The 19,050-nt window shown below is 40.1% G+C and overlaps 1 protein-coding gene across 7 annotated transcripts in view; it reads right to left on the bottom strand.

Annotated features, from left to right (window-relative positions):
* Positions 1-18,367, bottom strand: part of VAMP7 (vesicle associated membrane protein 7) — a 62,425-nt gene extending 44,058 nt beyond the window's left edge. For 2 of the 7 annotated variants that reach the window (XM_017030063.2, XM_011545653.2), the window contains exons 1-4: positions 18,264-18,367; positions 10,079-10,254; positions 4,032-4,089; positions 1,463-1,600 (exon numbers count right to left, since the gene is read on the bottom strand). In XM_017030063.2, the coding sequence (XP_016885552.1) occupies positions 1,463-1,600; positions 4,032-4,089; positions 10,079-10,083 (201 nt within the window). In that variant the 5' untranslated portion in view covers positions 10,084-10,254; positions 18,264-18,367. The remainder of the gene's footprint in view (positions 1-1,462; positions 1,601-4,031; positions 4,090-10,078; positions 10,255-18,263) is intronic. The other 5 variants (NM_005638.6, NM_001185183.2, NR_033715.2 and 2 more) reach the window with 4 other exon arrangements.

Genomic DNA, 19,050 nt, shown 5'->3' with positions numbered 1-19,050 from the left:
TACTGGTATTTTTGTTGTGGGTAGTGTTTTACACAGTTTTACACAGATGAACATTTCCTAGTGGGGAGTATGAAACAAACCAACTGCTTGAATAATAAAGGTTTATAAGTAACCAATTTAAAGGGACTTTATTGCCAGAAGAGTATGTGTGTGCGTGTGTGTGTGTGTGCATAAAATTTAGAAATGTAATACTCAGAGTATTAAAACCACAGGAGAAGTGAAAGTATTCCATTACAATACAGCTTTTTTTTAAACTCACAACAAAATCATAGCTAGAGCTTACGTCTTTATACTCAAATAGTTTCATGGATAAAAGGGAAGCATTTCGAAAGGTGTCTGACATCATGAAAACATAAATTAAAACCACAATGAGATACCATTACACATCAACTGGAATGGCAAAACTTAAGACCACATCAAGTACTGGCAAGGACGCAGAGACACTGGAACTGCTGGTGAGAATATAAAATGGTACAACCACTTTGGAAAAAAAAGTGGTGATTTTTTTTTTTCAATTACACATCACCTACCATATGACCCAGCAATTCCATTCCTAGGTATTTATCAGAGAGAAATAAAAACATATGTCCACACAAAGACTTATACATGGAGGTTAACAGCAGCTTTATTCATGATAGCTGAAAACTGGAAGCAACCCAAATATCCAGCAACAGGTGGATGGATAAACAAATTGTGGTATATGCATATACTACTACTTAGCAAAAAGGGGAACAAACTACTGATTTATACAACATGGAAGAATATCAAGAGCCTTACACTGACTGAAACAAGCAAGACACAAAAAAGTACATACTGTATGATTCCATTTACAGAAAGTTTACATACTGTATGATTCTATTTACAGAAAGTTCTATGAAAGACAAAACTAATTTATAGTGATAGAAAACAGATCCGTGGTTGCCTGGGGCAAAGTGTAGGGGAGGGGACCAACTGGTAAGGGATATGAGGGAACTTTTAGGGTGATTAAAATGCTGTCTTAAGTACAGTGGTATTTCACAGGTATATTCACATGTAAAACCTCACTAAGCTGACAATTAGGGATTCATACAGATGAGGAGAGTTTCAAATTATTAATTTGGGTTGTTAGAAAATTAAATTTCCCTCATGGAAGGGTAGAAGGTTTACGTATAGTTTAAAAGATCATTTGGCATGCTGAACACATTTAAGCATCAGATGGGTAGTTCAACTAGATGATCTTTAATGCTCTTCCAATCATGAGACACTGTGACCACTATTAATAGAGATAATAAAGACTATCACTGTTTTCTACCCTAAAATGGCCCCTTTACATTTTTTTTTTAATCAGGGAAGTTTTATTATGTTGGCTTACAGTAACACAATCAGAAAACTATATTGCAGGTCAGGGCCCCCTAGATTCATAGTGTTTGAAGGTAATGAAGAAGATATAAATCAAAATACCTTATCCTGAGAAAGATCTTACCAGCTGTGCAGCTAAGACACTTGAGAACTCGCTATTCATGGCATATGGAAGTGCTGTCTGTGCTCTTGAACCGTAAGTAGTCTGGAACCTCTTCTTTATCTCATTCAGAAAATTAAAGGCTCGGGAACGTTCAAAATCCTGAAAAGAGATCAACACAGAACTCACATTTAGAAAGTAAACAAAGATGATGTGAGTGATTAAGAACAACAATAAAAAACAGCTAACATTTACTGAGCAATGATTATCTGAGGAGGAACTAGCATTGATCCTATCTTAAAGATAAGTAAAGGAAGGCTCTGAAAAAGTAACTAACTTGTCCAAAGGTCCAACAACTAGTAAATGAAAGAGCTGAGAATGAATCCAGATATATCTGGTCATTGACAACTGAAGATAATGATACCTAGGTTATCAACTTCTTGACATCAGGAATTGAATTTTACTTCCTCCATATATTTCATAAGATCTATTAGAAGGCCCAGCACAAGAATATGTTTAATAAATCCCATAATAATCATAGAGTCTTTCACACATACAGATACTACTACTGATATTAACTTCAAATCGAATTTTTTCAATAGTGGTGGTATATTTGAAAAGATCAAGTGACATACTCATGTCTAATCCCAGCCAGCCAAAAAGTATGTGTGTTCTCTGTAAGAATACCTTAGAGGAAAAAAATGAATGTGTGTATGTGTGTTTATGTATACATGTATATGTGTGTATCAAATTATAGCTCAAGAAATATGAGGCTCGACTCTAACTATCCCAGATTTCATTAGTATTTTCCTTCTATTCCAAGCTGTTTCACATCAGTCATTTCACATATAGCTAGATTTTTTCGTACTTTTGGAAAATATTGTGAAGCCAGAGATAAAAATCATTGTGATGATCACTATGGTTGACAGTCATTTCCCTTTCACCCAAGATGCTTAGTCTAAGCCAAGGGTTCTTAAATTGGGGTCAATGGTCCAAATTCAAGGGGCCTTTGAACTTGGATAGAAAAAAAGAAAATCACATCATTATTTTTATCAATCGTTAACTTATATTTCAATTGTGAATATAGGTTGTATATTCATAATCGGGGTAGTATTAAACAGTACCTGTAACTGTCACCAACAGAAATCTTTTTTTGTATACCATCACAGTTACAGATATCTCAAAATACTGTCAACACCCATCACATCAAGACTATTAGTTATTAGACCTATGACTAGATCTTGTTAATGAGTTCATAAAGAAGCATATATATTACTACATCAAGTTTTTAAAATATTTTGAATACTATATATATATATATTTCAATATAATTGGCTTTGTTAGAATTGTGTGTGTTTTATACATTTAAAAGCATTCTGGAAAAGGAAAATTAAAAAAAGAAAACAAAAACATTCTGGGAGTGTCCCACAAGTGACGAGTCTGTGATACAATAAAGATTAGGAACCCTGATCTATGGCAACCATGCCAATTCCAAGTCTCTTTGCCAGTAGGCAGTTTAGAAATGAGCATGCAGCCAATAAGACATGAAAGGAAGTTCACTTTGAAAGCAGGGGGAGGGGAGGGCATGCAGCTGGGAAAAGCTTCCTCATTCCTACAATAAGACACTCAAGAAGACACAGTCCCTCTACTCCGGACATGAATAAATAAGTATGTAGCTCTACGAAACCATAATGGCAACCTGTCTGGGAAGAAGGAGACACGGAGATAAGCAGAGAAGAGAAAGGACCTTAATGACATCATTAAGTTACTGAGAATTTTGGGCTGAGAGCCGACAAACAGTCATACCTAACCAATGTAAACTACAGGTTTATATAGCTGATCATAATGTATTGTAATTTTGTTTTTCCAAAGTTCACATACATTAAAGGATTCATTAACTACTGATAGAAGAAATGATGCTATCTAATTTAACATTCCACGTAAACAATTTTTGAGAGGTTTTGATATCAAAGAATTATAATTATGAACATCAATTCTCACTACAAAATAGAATAAATATAGAAGTTGCAAGAGGCTAAGCTAAAACTCTACCAAAATTGAGTTGATTTGCACATACCCCAGTATCAAGTTTTCTTAACATTTGCTGCTCTATATGACAAATGCAAAATATTAACAATTCCAGCTATGTAAAGTTCGCATCACGTTTGCCCACTATAGGTACAGATCAGCAGTCCCCAACCTTTTTGGCACCAGGGACCGGTTTTGTAGAAGACAATTTTTCCAAGGACTGGGGGAGGGTGAATGGTTTCGGGATTAAACTGTTCCACCTCAGATCATCAGGCATTAGATTCTCCTAAGGAGCATGCAATTTAGATCCCTCGGATGCAGAGTTCACAACAGGGTTCACACTCATATGAGAATCTAATGCTGCTGCTGATCTGACAGGAGGCAGAACTCAGGTGGTAATGCTCATAGGCCACTCACCTCCTGCTATGTGGCCTGGTTCCTAACAAGCCACAGACCTGTACCGGTCTGCAGCCTGGGGGTTGGGGACCCCTGGTATAGATAATTAAGAACTGGCTGTATTAACAGTACACATAGTTAAATAGCAATATGTCTTCAAGTTACTTACATCATCAGTGATACAAAGATATACAATCCTGTCTTGGCAGATGTAATGAAACAAATAACTGTAGAATAAAAGATATAAAACTTACTGTGGTTATAAGCAACATCACTTTTACTTCTATCTTCTATCTATGTATAAGCACGTTCAGTACTGCCAATGTCACCATATTACTTACGGATACAGTCTCTTCTCCCTCTTCCCCTTCCCAATATACCTGTTTCTTTCAAGTCAAACTGATAGAAGTACATAAGAAATAAAAAGATCTCTATTCTAGCTACATAGCACAACAGCATGTGTATTACCCATTAGAACGATAGCTGCAAAAGCATAATTGGACTCTTAAAGCATGAACAAGAGATGACATCTTAGGAGGAGGATGTAATTAAGATTAACCCCCAATAGGCCATATGGTTTTCTTTGCTTTTTCCTAAGTTCTTAAAGCAAACATCTTTTCTACCAAATTCTCAACATTTGAGTATCCACTTTGAGTTAGTTACTGTGCTGGATGCTGAGGATACAAAAAAGCAAAACCACCAAGTCCCAGTCTTCATAGGGATCACAGTGTAAGGAATTACAGTGCAGCATGGCAAACAGGATGACAGGAAAGTTAAAGGCAGTACATGGTGCTCTGGGGACACATTAATAGATGAGGCACGAAATGGAGATTTGCCAAAGGGTAACCAGAAAGACTTCCCAGAACAAGTGATGTCTGATTTAAGACCTGAAGAATAAGTAACAGATGGCAAGGTAAAGAGTGAGCGAAAGGCCAGGCGTGGTGGCTGGCTCATGCCTGTAATCCTAGCACTTTGGGAGGCTGAGGCGGGCAGATCGCTTGAGCTCAGGAGTTCAAGACCAGCCTGGGCAACATGGCAAAACCCCGTCTGTACACAAAATACAAAAATTAGCCAGGTGTGGTGGCACACGCCTATAGTCCCAGCTACTTGGGAGGCTGAGGCAGGAGGATCGCTGGAACCCAGGAGGTTGAGGCTGTAGTAAGCTGAGATTGCGCCACTGCACTCCAGCCTGGGTAACAAAGTGAGACCTTGTTTCAAAAAACAACAACAACAAAAAAAAGTGAGCAAAGAGTTTTTCCAGAGAGGAAGCAGCAAGCATAAGGGCCTAGAGGTAAAACAGCACCTAATAGATTTAGGAAAGTAAAATTGGCTCACATGACTAGAGTACAGAATGTGAAGAAAAAGTGAATTATCTGGACAGACAAGACTGGAGAAGTAAGCAAAAACCAGGTTATACAAGACTTTATAAACCACACTGTGCATTATCCTAAGAATAATGAATAAACATCCAAAAGTTTTAGCCTAGGGAGGGTGTGATCAGATTTGCACTTTAAAAAGGACACATTAAAAAAAAAAAAAAAAAAAAAACAAAGGACACATTGGCTAGAGTGCGGAAAACTGACTCAAAGGAGGACCAGACAGGAGACTACTGCAGTATACCGGGTAAGAAATGAGGAGGGAAATAAACTAAAGTAGAATGGGTAATAAAGAAAAAGGGACAGAGAAGAGATAGGAGGCAGCATTTATAGAACTTGGTGACTGGCGTGAGACAGGTTAACTAAATTTTGCCTCCCACATTTGTACCTTGGGCAAGTGGATAGATAGGGGTACCTGTTGAATTATATTAATGTTCACAGAGGACTGACATGAATTACAAGGAGATACAGGAACTCAGGCAAAATCTTTTCCTCCAATACTCTAAAACTATTTGCACCATTTCCACCAATGACTTCCACATTGCCATATCCAGTGGCTCTCTCTGAAACATATGATAGTGTTGACCACTTCCTTTTGGAAAGTGTTTTATCTTCACTAGATTTCTTGACATCAGGCTTGCCTGGTGCTATAGACTGAACTGTGTCCTTTCAAAATTCATATGTTACAGTGTGACTATATTTGGAGACAAGGCCTTTGGGAGGCACTTAAGATTAGATGAGGTCATGAGGGTGGGGTCCTCGTGATGGGATTAGTGGCTTTAAAAAAGAGGAAGAAAAAGATCACTCTCTTTCCACCACCTGAGAACACAGCAAGAAGGTGGCCATCTGCCAGCCAGGAAGAAGGCCCTCATCAAGAACTGAATTAGCGGGCACCTCACGCAGTCTCCAGAACTGTGAGAAACAAGTATCTGTTGTTCAAGCCACTCAGTCTATGGTATTTTGTTATAGCAGCCCAAGCAGGCTAATATACCTGGTTTATATCATAGTCCCTTTCCCTCTACACTAACGTTTTCTAGCTTCCTTAGCCTCCTGCTTTTTTCACACTTACTTACTCCCTGGAGGGCAGCATGCACTCTCATGTTTTGTTGTAGTTTGTTTTCAGCTACCACAATTATGCCAATGATTCCCAAATCTCCATCTGACCTATCTCCTGAGCTCCAGGACTACCTACACTACTGTCTACTAGACATATCCAACTGGACATACCATAGACAGCTTAAACATGACATGCCCAGAATGAAAGTCATCACTTTCCCCATAAAATTTGTTTCTCCTAAACCAGACTTGTAAGTCACTTGGTGCACAGGCCACAAAAGGTAACAAGGTATGATCCCTGCCATCAAGAAGCCTACAGTCAGGGTACAGAAATAAACAATCATTTCAATTATAATACAGTCTGAGGCCAGGCACGGTGGCTCATGCCTGTAATCCCAGCACTTTGGGAGGCCGAGGCGGGCGGATTGCCTGAGGTCAGGAGTTCGAGACCTGCCTGGCCAACATGGTGAAACCCCATCTCTACTAAAAATACAAAAATTAGCCAGGCGTGGTGGCACACGCCTGTCATCCCAGTTACTCGGGAGGCTGAGGCAGGATAATCACTTGAACCCAGGAAGTGGAGGTTGCGGTGAGCTGAGATTGCGCCATTGCACTCCAGCCTGGGCAACAAAAGCGAAACTTCGTCTCAATAATAATAATAATAATAATAATAATACAGTGTGAAAAGTGTTACAATATGAACAAACTAGATGCTATGTAGACACATAAAAAGAGTGTCTGATTGCGGTGCCTGACTCAGTGTTAATGTTCAGGGGTTTCTGGAAAAGGAAACATCTAAGCTCAGGCACACAAAGTGAGATTTTTAAAAAATTAAGTAGATAAATATATTCCAGTAAAAGGTAACAGCTATTGCAAAGGCTAGGAAGAGAGAAAGAACCTAGCATTGAATTGTAAATGGCTAAGTATGAAGTATGGCTGGAAAGCAAAACTGAGGACTAAAGTAGTAAAAGATGAGCCCACAGAAGGAAAAAGTGGCAGATCTTGAAGAATATTCCAAGTCCCGTTAAGGAATTTTACCTTGAGGGCAGACAGTATCTGTTGAAGGAAGGAATATGATCAGAACTGCCCTTTTAGAAGCATTAAAGTACAAATTAAGAAAGTATTTCGCTTGGGACCTGTAAAGTGAGCAAAAGTTTACAAGGAGGCTTAGGGGGAGAACAGCATTCCTAGAAGATAACAAAAGCATGAAAAAAAGGTACCAAAGCTCGAAATAACACAGCTAGATCAGAGACACAGGCAGAGAGGCATGGCAGACAGATAACATCTCCTTCTACTATAACTGCATTTTAATTGGATTACATATTCTATACTCTCTTAAAGCTACATATGGCTGTGACTAAATTCTGGCTCATAATACATGAGTGGAAGATATATGCCCTATTTCCCAGTCTTGCCTCTAAAAGGACGACTACATGTGCTTTCCCTGGACATTTTCCCAGGAACTGCCTAGAAACACAAAGACTGTAAGTCTAATACATTTTTAGAGAAAGTATAAAGCCAAAATCATAAGAAGCTAAGATTATTTAACCCCTAACCTCTAGGCCCACAAACCTACGCTGGCAGCAAGAGGACTACAAAATGGGTACAATTCCCAAAGATGATATACTCTCTAACTACCATTTTGGATGTGGCCAGAAAGGAAAAACTTCCTGGAGAACAAAGCCAGGAGTCAGGGAAAAAGGGTGAGGGAGTTCCTCCAAGAAAGCAGAACCACTAACCACTTCCTGGTCAGAATAGGGAGTCTTTGAAATTGTGTGAGGCAATTATTTGATCATTACTGGAAAGCAATGACTTCTACATGTTTCTCATTCTTCCCTTTTCCAAATGGGAGTTTGTAACTCTCACTGTGATGATCCTTTTCTTATTTCACCATTGTCTACTGGGTTAGGCTGGGAAAGCAGGGAAAACATATGACTTATCTTTTACTTTATGGTCAGTGGACCACAGGAGCCACACCAGGGCCTGATGGATAGGACTGTGTACCACCTAGACATGCTGGACTTGGAGCCAAACACAGTGACTAGATAGGTCTTTGGAGCTACCTCTCTCAGAGAAGAGGCGTATTCTATGTTTGGGAAGAAAGGTTCACTGAAATATCTGGGTGGCCAGGAGAGTAGACTGGAAGACTGCAAGTCATCCCCTGATATCCTATAACTTCCTCCAGAGTAACAGAGTTTTAGTTGAGCCTACGACTACATAGCCAGAGATGACAATTCCTGGCCTCCCTTCTAGCTATGCTAGCTACATGACTGTGTAGTGAACAGTAAGATGTAAGTGGAAGCTTCTCAACAATATCAGGCCACTTCTGGGCCCTGCCTTTAAAATTACTGGGCAAGCACTGGGATATAACAAGCACCAAAGGAGCTGCCTTGGCCAGAAGTGGAAAGCACTAATTGCTTTGGGAATTAGGGAATTGGAAATGGCAGAGCCACCCCAACATCCCAAACCACTCATCTCTGGACTATCTCATTAAAATTAATACTGTATCTTGGGGGTCTCTCTCATAGTAGCTTAGAGTACACCTTAAACTGTATAAGGGGTTAGCCATAGAAAGTAATAAGGACCTCATTCTGAGATAAGAACTAAGGAAGTAAGGCTGGGTTAAGTAAGAAAAGATTTTTAAGTGCCAACGGGGAAGGTTGAGGCACTTTTTAAAACTAATTACTAAGATTTCCCAACTATGGCCACTCTAATAAGCCACCAGAGTGATCTTTCTAAAGCAAAAACTGACTGAAGGGCCAGGGGCAGTGGCTCACGCCTGTAATCCCAACGCTTTGGGAGGCCAAGGCAGGCGAATCACCTGAGGTCAGGAGCTTGAGACAAGCCTGGCCAACATGGTGAAACCCCAACTCTACTAAAAATACAAAAATTAGCTGGGCATGGTGGTGCACGCCTGTAATCCCAGCTACTCAGGAGGCTAAGGCACGAGAATCATCTGAACCTGGGAGATGGAGGTTGCAGTGAGCCAAGATCGCACCACTGCACTCCAGCCTGGGTGACAGAGTGAGACTCTGTTTCTAAATAAATAAATAAATAAATAAATAAAACAAACCTGACTCTGTCACACCCTGGCTGAAAACCTTCAATGCCTTTCCACTGCCCACAAGGTAAAGTCCAAGCTCTTAATATGGCCTACAAGGCCCTACATGACTTTTCTTCTACCCATCTCTCTAGCTTTATTTTCACCATCCTGGGCACCAGTCACAGAGAACAGTCTGCAGTTCCCTAAATATGCCCGCCCTATGATCTCATGCCTCCATACTTCTCTACCTGCTGTTCCTTCTACTTGGAATACCATTCTCCTATCTACTACTTCCCATCCCCCCAACCCTTGACATCGTGGATTTGACTTTCTCCCTCATTAAACTATAACCCTTATGAGGGCAAATACCACATATCTTGTTATATCCCCAGCACCAAGCAAAGTGCCTGGCAATAGTTAAGTGCTCAGTAAATATTTACTGAAAGAATGAACAAAGGAACATTATCTATCTTATCTGAATTATTTTCACATATCACACAGCTCTAGAGCAAAGTCATTTTTACATTTAACATTTCATCTTTCTTCAAAATAAAATATCACTTCAATAATAGAATAAAATAATTACAAGTTAAATTTATAAGTAACAAAACCAGATATATTTTCTAAGTTGGTGAAGGTTACTATTCTGTCAGCTTATTCAAATTATGTACCTAGAAGCTTGTTTTCTACTTTTCTACCGTTCTGATTAGAGTAACAGAATTCCCTTCTTTCATCCCTTACCACATGCAGAACAGAACTCACTTGCCATGTGAGTACGTTAGTTTGTTATTTTCAGAAGGTATCTTAGCCAGAATCTGCTCTGTCACCTCCAGGAAGTTTCCTCCACACCAAGCATGTTTGGCAAGGATAGTGGTCCCCCTGGCAACAACAGCAAAAAGAATCGCCATGGCTTCAGTCTATCAAAAGGAAAAAGACACAGATTTAGAATATTTCTTTGACATAATCTTTCAAAGGTAACTTACTATCATTTATCAACATACTACCTGGAGATAGTATCTAACGAGGCACTATAACATGAAACTTAACAACAGACTTAAGAGCAGGCTTAAAAAGAAGGTCAAAGTTTTCTACAAACTTACAACCTAAGCCATGCTTGTATGCATTCATATAAAGAGACATACAAAACACATACACACACACACACACCATTGATAGCTTGCATTTACAAATTATTATAGCACAAACAGATATCACCCTTTTGAAAAGCAATGACTATAGATAGCAAAGGGACATAAAGATGTCTTCATTCTTTAATGTAGAAATTCCATCCTGAAAATTTATCCTAGAGAAATAGTTCAACAGAAGTTAAGACTCTAGATTCACAAAGATAACTATTAACAATAAAAATAGCCTATATTTATTGTTTACTATGTGCCAGGTACCATTTTAAATACTTTATAATTATTAATCCATTTAATCCTCACAACTCAATGAGATTATACACTATTATGATACTTCTATTATAGATGAGAAAACTGAAGCACAGATGACTTAAATAATTTCCCCCAAATTACAGAGCTAGTAAGTGTGGAGCTGCAATTTAAACCTAGGCAGTATGGTTCTAGAGCTCATAATCTTAGCCTTTTACTGTACACTGCCAGTATAAAGGCATTATCCATAACAGAAACAAAGTGAAAATAACTCAAAGCTTCCACAAGAAAGGAATGGTAAGACCCTTCATAAACAAAACATTACTAAAACCATATGGCATGAGTTTAAGATTATTTTCCTTATGTCTGCCTATGAATATGTGCTATTATTTCCCACCTAACAAGCCCAGCTTCTCTTATTTAATGGCATAAACATAAAAAGAGATGAACAAATCCTTGTCTAGTCTTCGATTAACTGTTAAACCTACTCTTATTTGTTAACATGCTCAGTACCCAACATACCAGTGGTTCTCAAACTGTAGTGGGAATACGAATCATCTTGTGTGGCAGAGTATGAGTCATTTGCTAAAAATTCAAACTCTTGGCATCACTTCCTGAAATTCTGATTCCGTAGGCCTGAGGTAGGGCCCTGGAATCTGTATTTAATACAAGTCTGTCTGGATGCAGGTGATTCACACAAACATACTTTGTGAAACACAACAGCAAACTATAAACTGTTTGAGATCAAGGAATGTGCAGATTCCTTATTGCAATCCCAGCATGGAAGGACAGCACACAGAGCAGAAGGTGCTCATCTGTCTCTTGGGCTGAATGCCTTTTGGGGATCTCTTTTTCATTCCTACTCTCTAACTGAAGTTGTTCCCCAGGGTTGTGATCTCAACCATCTTCTTTCTAGAATTCTCCTTACACATATGCAGTAAGTTATAGTTTCCAAATTGCTGTCTTATACTTTATCTCCCTTGATCCTAAAGCCTCCCTAACTGTGGATCCTACTGTTCTGTTTCTTTTCTTTTTTTTTTTTTTTTGAGACAGGGTCTTGCTCTGTCACCCAAGCTCCAGGCTAGAGTGCAGTGGCACAATCTTGGCTCACTACAGCCTCCACTTATCAGGCTCAAGTGATCCTCCTACCTCAGCCTCTGGAGTATCTGGGACTACAGGTGTGTGCCACCATGTCCGGCTATTTTTGTATTTTTTTTTGTACAGACAGGGTTTCACCATGTCACCCAGGCTGGTCTTGAACTCCCGGGCTCAAGTGATCCACCTGCCTTGGCCTCCCAAAGTGCTGGGATTACAGGCATGAGCCACCGTACCTGGCCCTGTTCTGTTTCTTCAAAGCATCGTTACGCATTATCTCTGCTCCTCTGCCTCCTTTCAACTCTTCTACTTACTATAATCCAGCTTTTGCCCTTAAAACTCCAGAAAACCATGCTTCCTAAGGTCACCAACAGCCTCTATATTGCAAAATACAGTGGTTGCTTCTCTATTCTTACCTTACTTGACCTCTTAGGCACAGTCAACACTGCTGACCGACCCTCCTTCTTGAAATGCTCCTACATCTCTGGCTGCTCTTTTTGTCTTCTTGCTGACTCTTCCTCCTCTACCTGACCTCTAAATGTCGACTTTCCTCCGGGACTGATTCTGTGCCCTTTTATTCCCAGATGAGCTCAGTTAGATCTGCCATTTTAAACATGATTTATTTGCTGAAGATATATTGCATACAGAAAAAAAAAATAGTGCCAAAGATAAAACCCAAAGCACAACCAACAGTTGAGGGAAAGGTAGATAAATAGAGACTCACAAAGACTGAGGAGGACCAAATGGGAAAGCCAAAAGTGTGGTGGCCCAGAAGCCGAAAGGAAAGAAAGAGAATGAAGACTGTAAAACAATCAGTGAAATTTTATAACAAGGAAGGAGGTCATTGCTTAGGGTCAAAGAGACACAGTAGAGAGGAACAAAAACACAAAGAGAAACAGAGATAAGAAATCATATGGTCCCTGGAACAGAGAGATGAAAAAGTAGCAGCAGCCTCAGTCCCTGTGCAGGTTCAGAAGGAAACTTGACCTTGGCAACAATTAATACAAAAAGATCTAGTGTTTCAGTGGACTGTAAGTTCATTATGAACCAACGGTATGCGATATTGCTTAAAAATGCTTACATAATCTCAAAGTACATTAAGAAATAGGGTGTCTTGACCTGTTTAAGTACTAGTCCCATTACACTCTGTGCTGGTTAGAACATATGTAAAATACTGAATTCAATTCTGGGTAGAATATTTAACGACTAGACAAAAGGGAGGCAATACAATATGGGTGAGAGACATGGAGATTGTGTCATCTGAAGACTGGCTGGAGGAACTAGAGATATGTAACATGAGAAAGAGAGGACTTAGAGGGAACATGACAATAGTTTTTGAGTTTATATAAAGTACAGTCACCTGGAACAGGGAGCACATTATTCAGAATATAACTAGGAACAATGAATATAAGTTATACGCAAGTAGTGTTTCTTCCAATAAAAGCAGTCCCCAACTTAAAAATGACTGTTAAACAGTGGGTACATAGCAACAGAAACTTTACTTTCCTTCCAGATGTCACTAATAGGAATTCCTTCCTCTCTGCTATACTGCTAAAAATCCCACCTATGAAGTCTTACCTGCCCCCATTGTAAGTGTCTTGTAATAGAATCCATAACGTCTTGATGAGTATTGGGATAACAGAAACAATTGTGGCACAATGAACACTGCACTTGAAGTTAGAAAACCTGGCTCTGCTAATTATTAGCAGTATGTAAATGCCTAATAAACCATAAAGTGCTATATAAAGATAAGATCCAAGAAGAAAAAGAATGAAAAGATAAGCCAGAGAGAGAAGGGAAGAAAAAAAGATAATGCAACATAAAGGAAAGCCCCATATCAACACTGTTCCTCTTTGTTCTCCTATTCACTCCCCACTTGGTCCCACAGCCACCATCCCAATTCTACTTTATTCCTGCTAAGAATCCTGTATTAGTTTCTTGTAGCTGCAGTAATAAAGTACCAAAAACTTGGTTGCTTAAAACAACAGAAATGTATCGCCTACCAGTTCTGAGGGTTAAAAGTCCAAAATCAAGATGTTGGCAGGGTTATGCTCCCTCTGAAACCTGTAGAAGAGAATCTTTCCTTATCTCTTTCTAGCTTCTGATAGTTTGGTGGCAATCCTTGGTGTTCCTTGGCTTGGAGGTGCAGCACTTCAATCTTTACCTCTGTAGTCACATGGTGTTCTCTGTATCTGTGTCTTCACACTGCATTCTCTCTGTCTCTCTTCTTTTATATGGATGCCAGTCATATTGGATAAAGGGCCCACTCTACTCCAGTATGACCCCATTTTCAATTACATCTTAATTACATCTGCAAAGATCCTATTTCTAAATAAGATCCCATTCACAGGTACCACGGGTTAGGACTTCAACACAGCTTTCTGGAGGACACAATTCAACCCACAACAAACCCCCATTTTAAACTGATACTACACCTGATCTTAGCCAAAAGGCTGACAAGCAATGCAAACTTCCATTTTAGAAACTCACTGTTCATCCCAAATAAATCCTACCCTTCCCTTTCCAGATACTCATATCACCCAACTTGCCTCCCTCTCTAAAACCTCTGTCCCTTCGTTTTCCTTGCTCATATTGGAGGACTGTCCTTAGAGCTAAGGGCTAGAAGGGTCACCCACAACAGTTTGGAGTTAGAAAAGCCTGTTTTTACTATGTTAAGGGACTAAAGAAAGGATATTTTTGTTCTAGTTGTTGGGTTTCTAAAAAAAGATATGCTATAAGGGAATTCAAATGAGAATTATAAATGCAGTTTTTTAATAGAGGAATTATTGTAAATTGTGGGGAAGGTCTTCGAGTCCACTAAATTAAAAGTTAATAAAATGATACTGGTTGGCATAACAGTGTAAATGTCATGGATAGCATTATTTATAGAAGGAAATGCATCCAGCGTTCCAAACAATAAGCTTACAACAGTACTTTTAGAATATATCCATTTGTAAGTAAGAAATTGCCTGTATTAAAAAATTTGGTAATAACATAGAACAGCAATGATGAAAATGCTCCTCCTCAGCAGAAGCATCTTCAAGTAGAGGCTGAAGACAGTTTCAGGTAACTGAGTAAGGGGAAAGGCCAAGTCCATGTGTTTTGAGAAATCTTTTAATTCTGCATTTGTATTTTGATAACACTGAAAAATGTATAAGAATATTCTGGATCATCTACATGTGTATCTTATAAACGAGCAATGGCACACAATTCAGTGCTGCACTTGCATTCCTGTCTATAAAGAAATAGGTGTCAATAAATCACCTAAAATAACAATGCTTAATGTTTACATCTTAGAAGTATCTGGCTGATCTTAGGTTGGCACATCCTAAATTCACGACAGTCATGACTCAAGCACTCTTGTACTGCTGTTGTTTTTAATCAGTTATAAAGACAAAATTTGTCTTTTGCAGTAATGATTTACAATTGAAAGATACCTGCATGGAATAAGACTTTAATTTTGGCTGGGCGCAGTGGTTCATGCCTGTAATCCCAGCACTTTGGGAGGCTGAGGCGGGCGGATCACCCAAGGTCAGGAGTTCGAGACCAGCCTGACCAACATGGAGAAACCCCGTTTCTACTAAAAATACAAAATTAGCCAGGCGTGGTGGCGCACGCCTGTAATTCCAGCTACTTGGGAGGCTGAGGCAGGAGAATCGCTTGAACCCGGGAAGTGGAGGCTGAGGTGAGCCAAGATCATGCCATTGCACTCCAGCCTGGGTAACAAGAGCAAAACTCTGTCTCAAAAGAAAAAAAAAAGTTTAATTTTAATACTTGAGGCTTTTATCTGACATCCTGAAAATGACAATGTGGCAGAATAACATTACCACTTAAATTACCTCAGGCTGAGAAAGTAATACTCAAAGATGTGTTTCTTGGCCGGGCATGGTGGCTCATGCCTGTAATCCCAGCACTTTGGGAGGCCGAGGTGGATCACCTGAGGTCAGGAGTTCGAGACCAGCCTGACCAAAAATGGTGAAATCCCGTCTCTACTAAAAATACAAAAAAAAATTAGTCAGGCGTGGTGGTGTGCACCTGTAATCCCAGCTACTCAGGGGGCTGAGGCAGGAGAATTGCTTGAACCTGGGAGGCGGAGGTTGCAGTGAGCCGAGATCGCGCCGCTGCACTCCAGCCCAGGCAACGGAGTGAGACTCCGTCTCAAAAAAAAAAAAAAAAAAAAAGATGTGTTTCTACCAAGTAGAAACCAAATGATACCAAAACATGCTGTGTGAACAGAGGTTATACAACTGTTCAAATAAAGTAGTAGAATTAACTCATTACATAGCACATGGTGATAGTCAATGCAAAATCTTTAAAAAGTATTCTGTATCATTATATTATTGCAGTAGGATCTATTACATTAATTCTTGCAAGAGTTCATTGGCAGAATGTTTCATAGGAAATATAAAAAGGAAATTAATTTTTTTCCACCCCTGTATCATGAGCAGATTATTAAATTAACTGGCCCACCAAATTAATGGAGGGAGGTACACAAGGTGCTTGGGAAGAGATGGGAGATCCTTTTAGGAGGGATGGATGGAAGAAGAGAAGGCACTGAGAGCAAGGTAAAGAAGGTACATAAGCTAGCCTGATAAGATGGAATGGTCCACCTTTGGTGAATGAGAAGGTTGAGGAATACGGCTGATGGCCTTACATAAAGAAGGCCTTGTATAAATCATGTCATTTAAATTTGATCAAATAGGGAGTCTATTTCAGTTCAACACGTATATACTGGTGGGTTACTATATGACAGTCAAAGTAGACACTAGAGGTATAAAGTTAAGGAAGAAGGGACTCCTATACTTGAGGGAGCCATAGAACAATGGGGAAGACAGATATAAATAAATGCAATAAAGTATAATAAGTGAATAATCTAAGAATGTCCGCAATTGCTCAGGAAATGTCTTAATGTTTTGTGATGATCTCACCTCGGATGAAGAACAGGAATGCAGGTGTCAGCCTATGCCTTAGAAATTTCCTCAGTATACTGTTAGGATTATTTCTCCTTGGAAGAGAGGTCAAAGTGTCTATTTTACCCTATTTTCCCAGTGCTCAGCACAGTGCCTACCATCTAATATTCCCTCAAATATCTGTTGAATAAATGAGTGAACATTGAGCATATTTTGGTTTTAAAATATACTATAAATGGTAGATAACTTTATATTCAGAAGGACCTGGTAAGAATAATATTTTCACAACCAAACTATCTTTCTAAGTAAGATAAAGCAGTTGAGCTAATAGTAATCCAATCCCCCACTCTTCTCTCTGGGTCTTAGAAGGAATAAACCAACTACAGATAAACCATGAATTCTGATGCAATAACCTTGGAGGAGATAGAAGAATGAAGAATAAACACTGCTTAGACAGGGGAAAAGAAGAGGTGTTTACGAAAAGTCATGTTACAGATCAAGATTATTCCTGTTGGTATTACAACTATTCTTTCTGGACGATGCCCTGACCTCTGACTTTCTTAGGATAGGATCCCATCCTTTCAAGTCAACCACCTGTTTTATTTTGCATTAACCAATATATAACATAATCCTGATTATTCCTGTTTTCCCCTCTAGACACAAACATGTAAGTTCCTGAGAGTAGCAACCTCCTAAGTCTTGTTTACAGCTGTATCCCCTGCACTTAAAAGAGTGTCAAGCATATACCAGCCGTTCAATAAATATTTGTTAAATGTATGAATGGATCTGCTCTCAGCCACAGGTATTCAAAGGGAATTAATATCCTAAACATGACTGTATCCTCTGGGATCAAGGGAGGGATAATGGAGATACAGGTAGTTGAAAGCAATTAATGAGGCCAAATGAAGACAGTTGGTTGGTTGTGAGAGTTATGGGAGACGGAGATGTAAAGCATTTACCAAAGTACGCAGTCAGAATTTGATAAACATTGGCCATTAATAAAAACACCAAACAGGTCTGAAGCTGAGGAAACGGGTCTAGGCAGAAATACAGTCCCTGAACAGAGGAAGAAGGGGACTGTCAATACTGAGCAGTGGAGGAAGGGCGAATAAGGGGCTAGGAACCCACGAAGGAGCATAAACAGCCAGAAGTAGAAGGTGAAGCAGAAAGTGACGTCATCGAACAAGGACGTAGAGAGTTTTTAGAAGACTCTGGCGATCTCAAGAGATTTAAATGCTACAGAAAGGTCTTGTAGAATACAAACTGAGAGAAAGTTAACATTTTTTCCCTCCTGTAATGACAGCTTAAGTGACGCATTCTGACACTCTTTAACTCGAGGCCTTTCCAGTGGCATAAGACGCACCTCGCCAAAACTGGTCCTGCCCGACAACTGGAACTGTCGACACCAGAGAAGCCCAAGTCACCCCTGCACTGCCTCCTCGCTCCACCCCAGCACCTTTCCATCGACACCTCCGCCCTCCCTCCGCAGTTCTCTCCCCGCCTCCCGCAGGCGCACCCCACTCCATTTACCTGTCCGGGCACCCTCTGAGGGCGCGCGGGCTCGGGACGGAGGGACGCGGGTCAGTGCAGGGTCGCCAACTGCCCGCTCCCAGAGGAGGCTGGGACCGGACGCCGCTGACTTCCGCATGAAGCGCCCCGTCTACGCGTGGCCTCTTGGGAGTGGGAGCGCTCCTCCAATGGCAGCAGGCGACACGGCTAGGCCTGCTGCGTTCCCAGCCCCCCGCACTTCCCAGGAGCCGTACTGCATTCTGGGAGTAGTAGTTCCGGTTGGAGTATCACTGAGTGTTTCACGTTCGTTCGACAGCTCTTGTGGTAAACAGCGTCAAATGCCGTATAGGGATCCAGGAAAATGAGAGGATGCAGGCTAGATAAAGAATCTACCAGCAATGAGTAGGCGGCATAAATGAAGAGCCAAGCTTGCCCCGTCTCTCCTGCTTAGTCTCAGTAGGCAGCGTCGCCCGTTTCCTCACAGACAAAATAGAATTCATCTGACAGGAACTGCCTCTACTTTCGCCATGAAATTTTCTAATTTTCTTGTACCCCTCACCAATCCTTTCTCCTATTCTTTTTGCAATAATAATAATAATAAACGACTACTCTCCTTTGATCTAAGCCAGCCCTCTTCCATCTCTATTCCCTGTTGCCGACTCAGAGTCAAGCTCCTCTGATGAACCCTTCCGTTGCATGACTCCTCAACGGCTCTCTGCTAACTCGCTCTTTACTATCAGGACTTAAAGGCTGTCAAAATTTCTCTCATCTAAAACATTCCAAAGTCACCTTTCTTAACCCCATACCC

This window comes from Homo sapiens, chromosome Y (genome assembly GCF_000001405.40).
Source record: "Homo sapiens chromosome Y, GRCh38.p14 Primary Assembly".
Classification (NCBI taxonomy): domain Eukaryota; kingdom Metazoa; phylum Chordata; class Mammalia; order Primates; family Hominidae; genus Homo; species Homo sapiens.
Note: the sequence above shows the minus strand (reverse complement) of the source record. Positions and strands in the feature narration are given on the sequence as shown.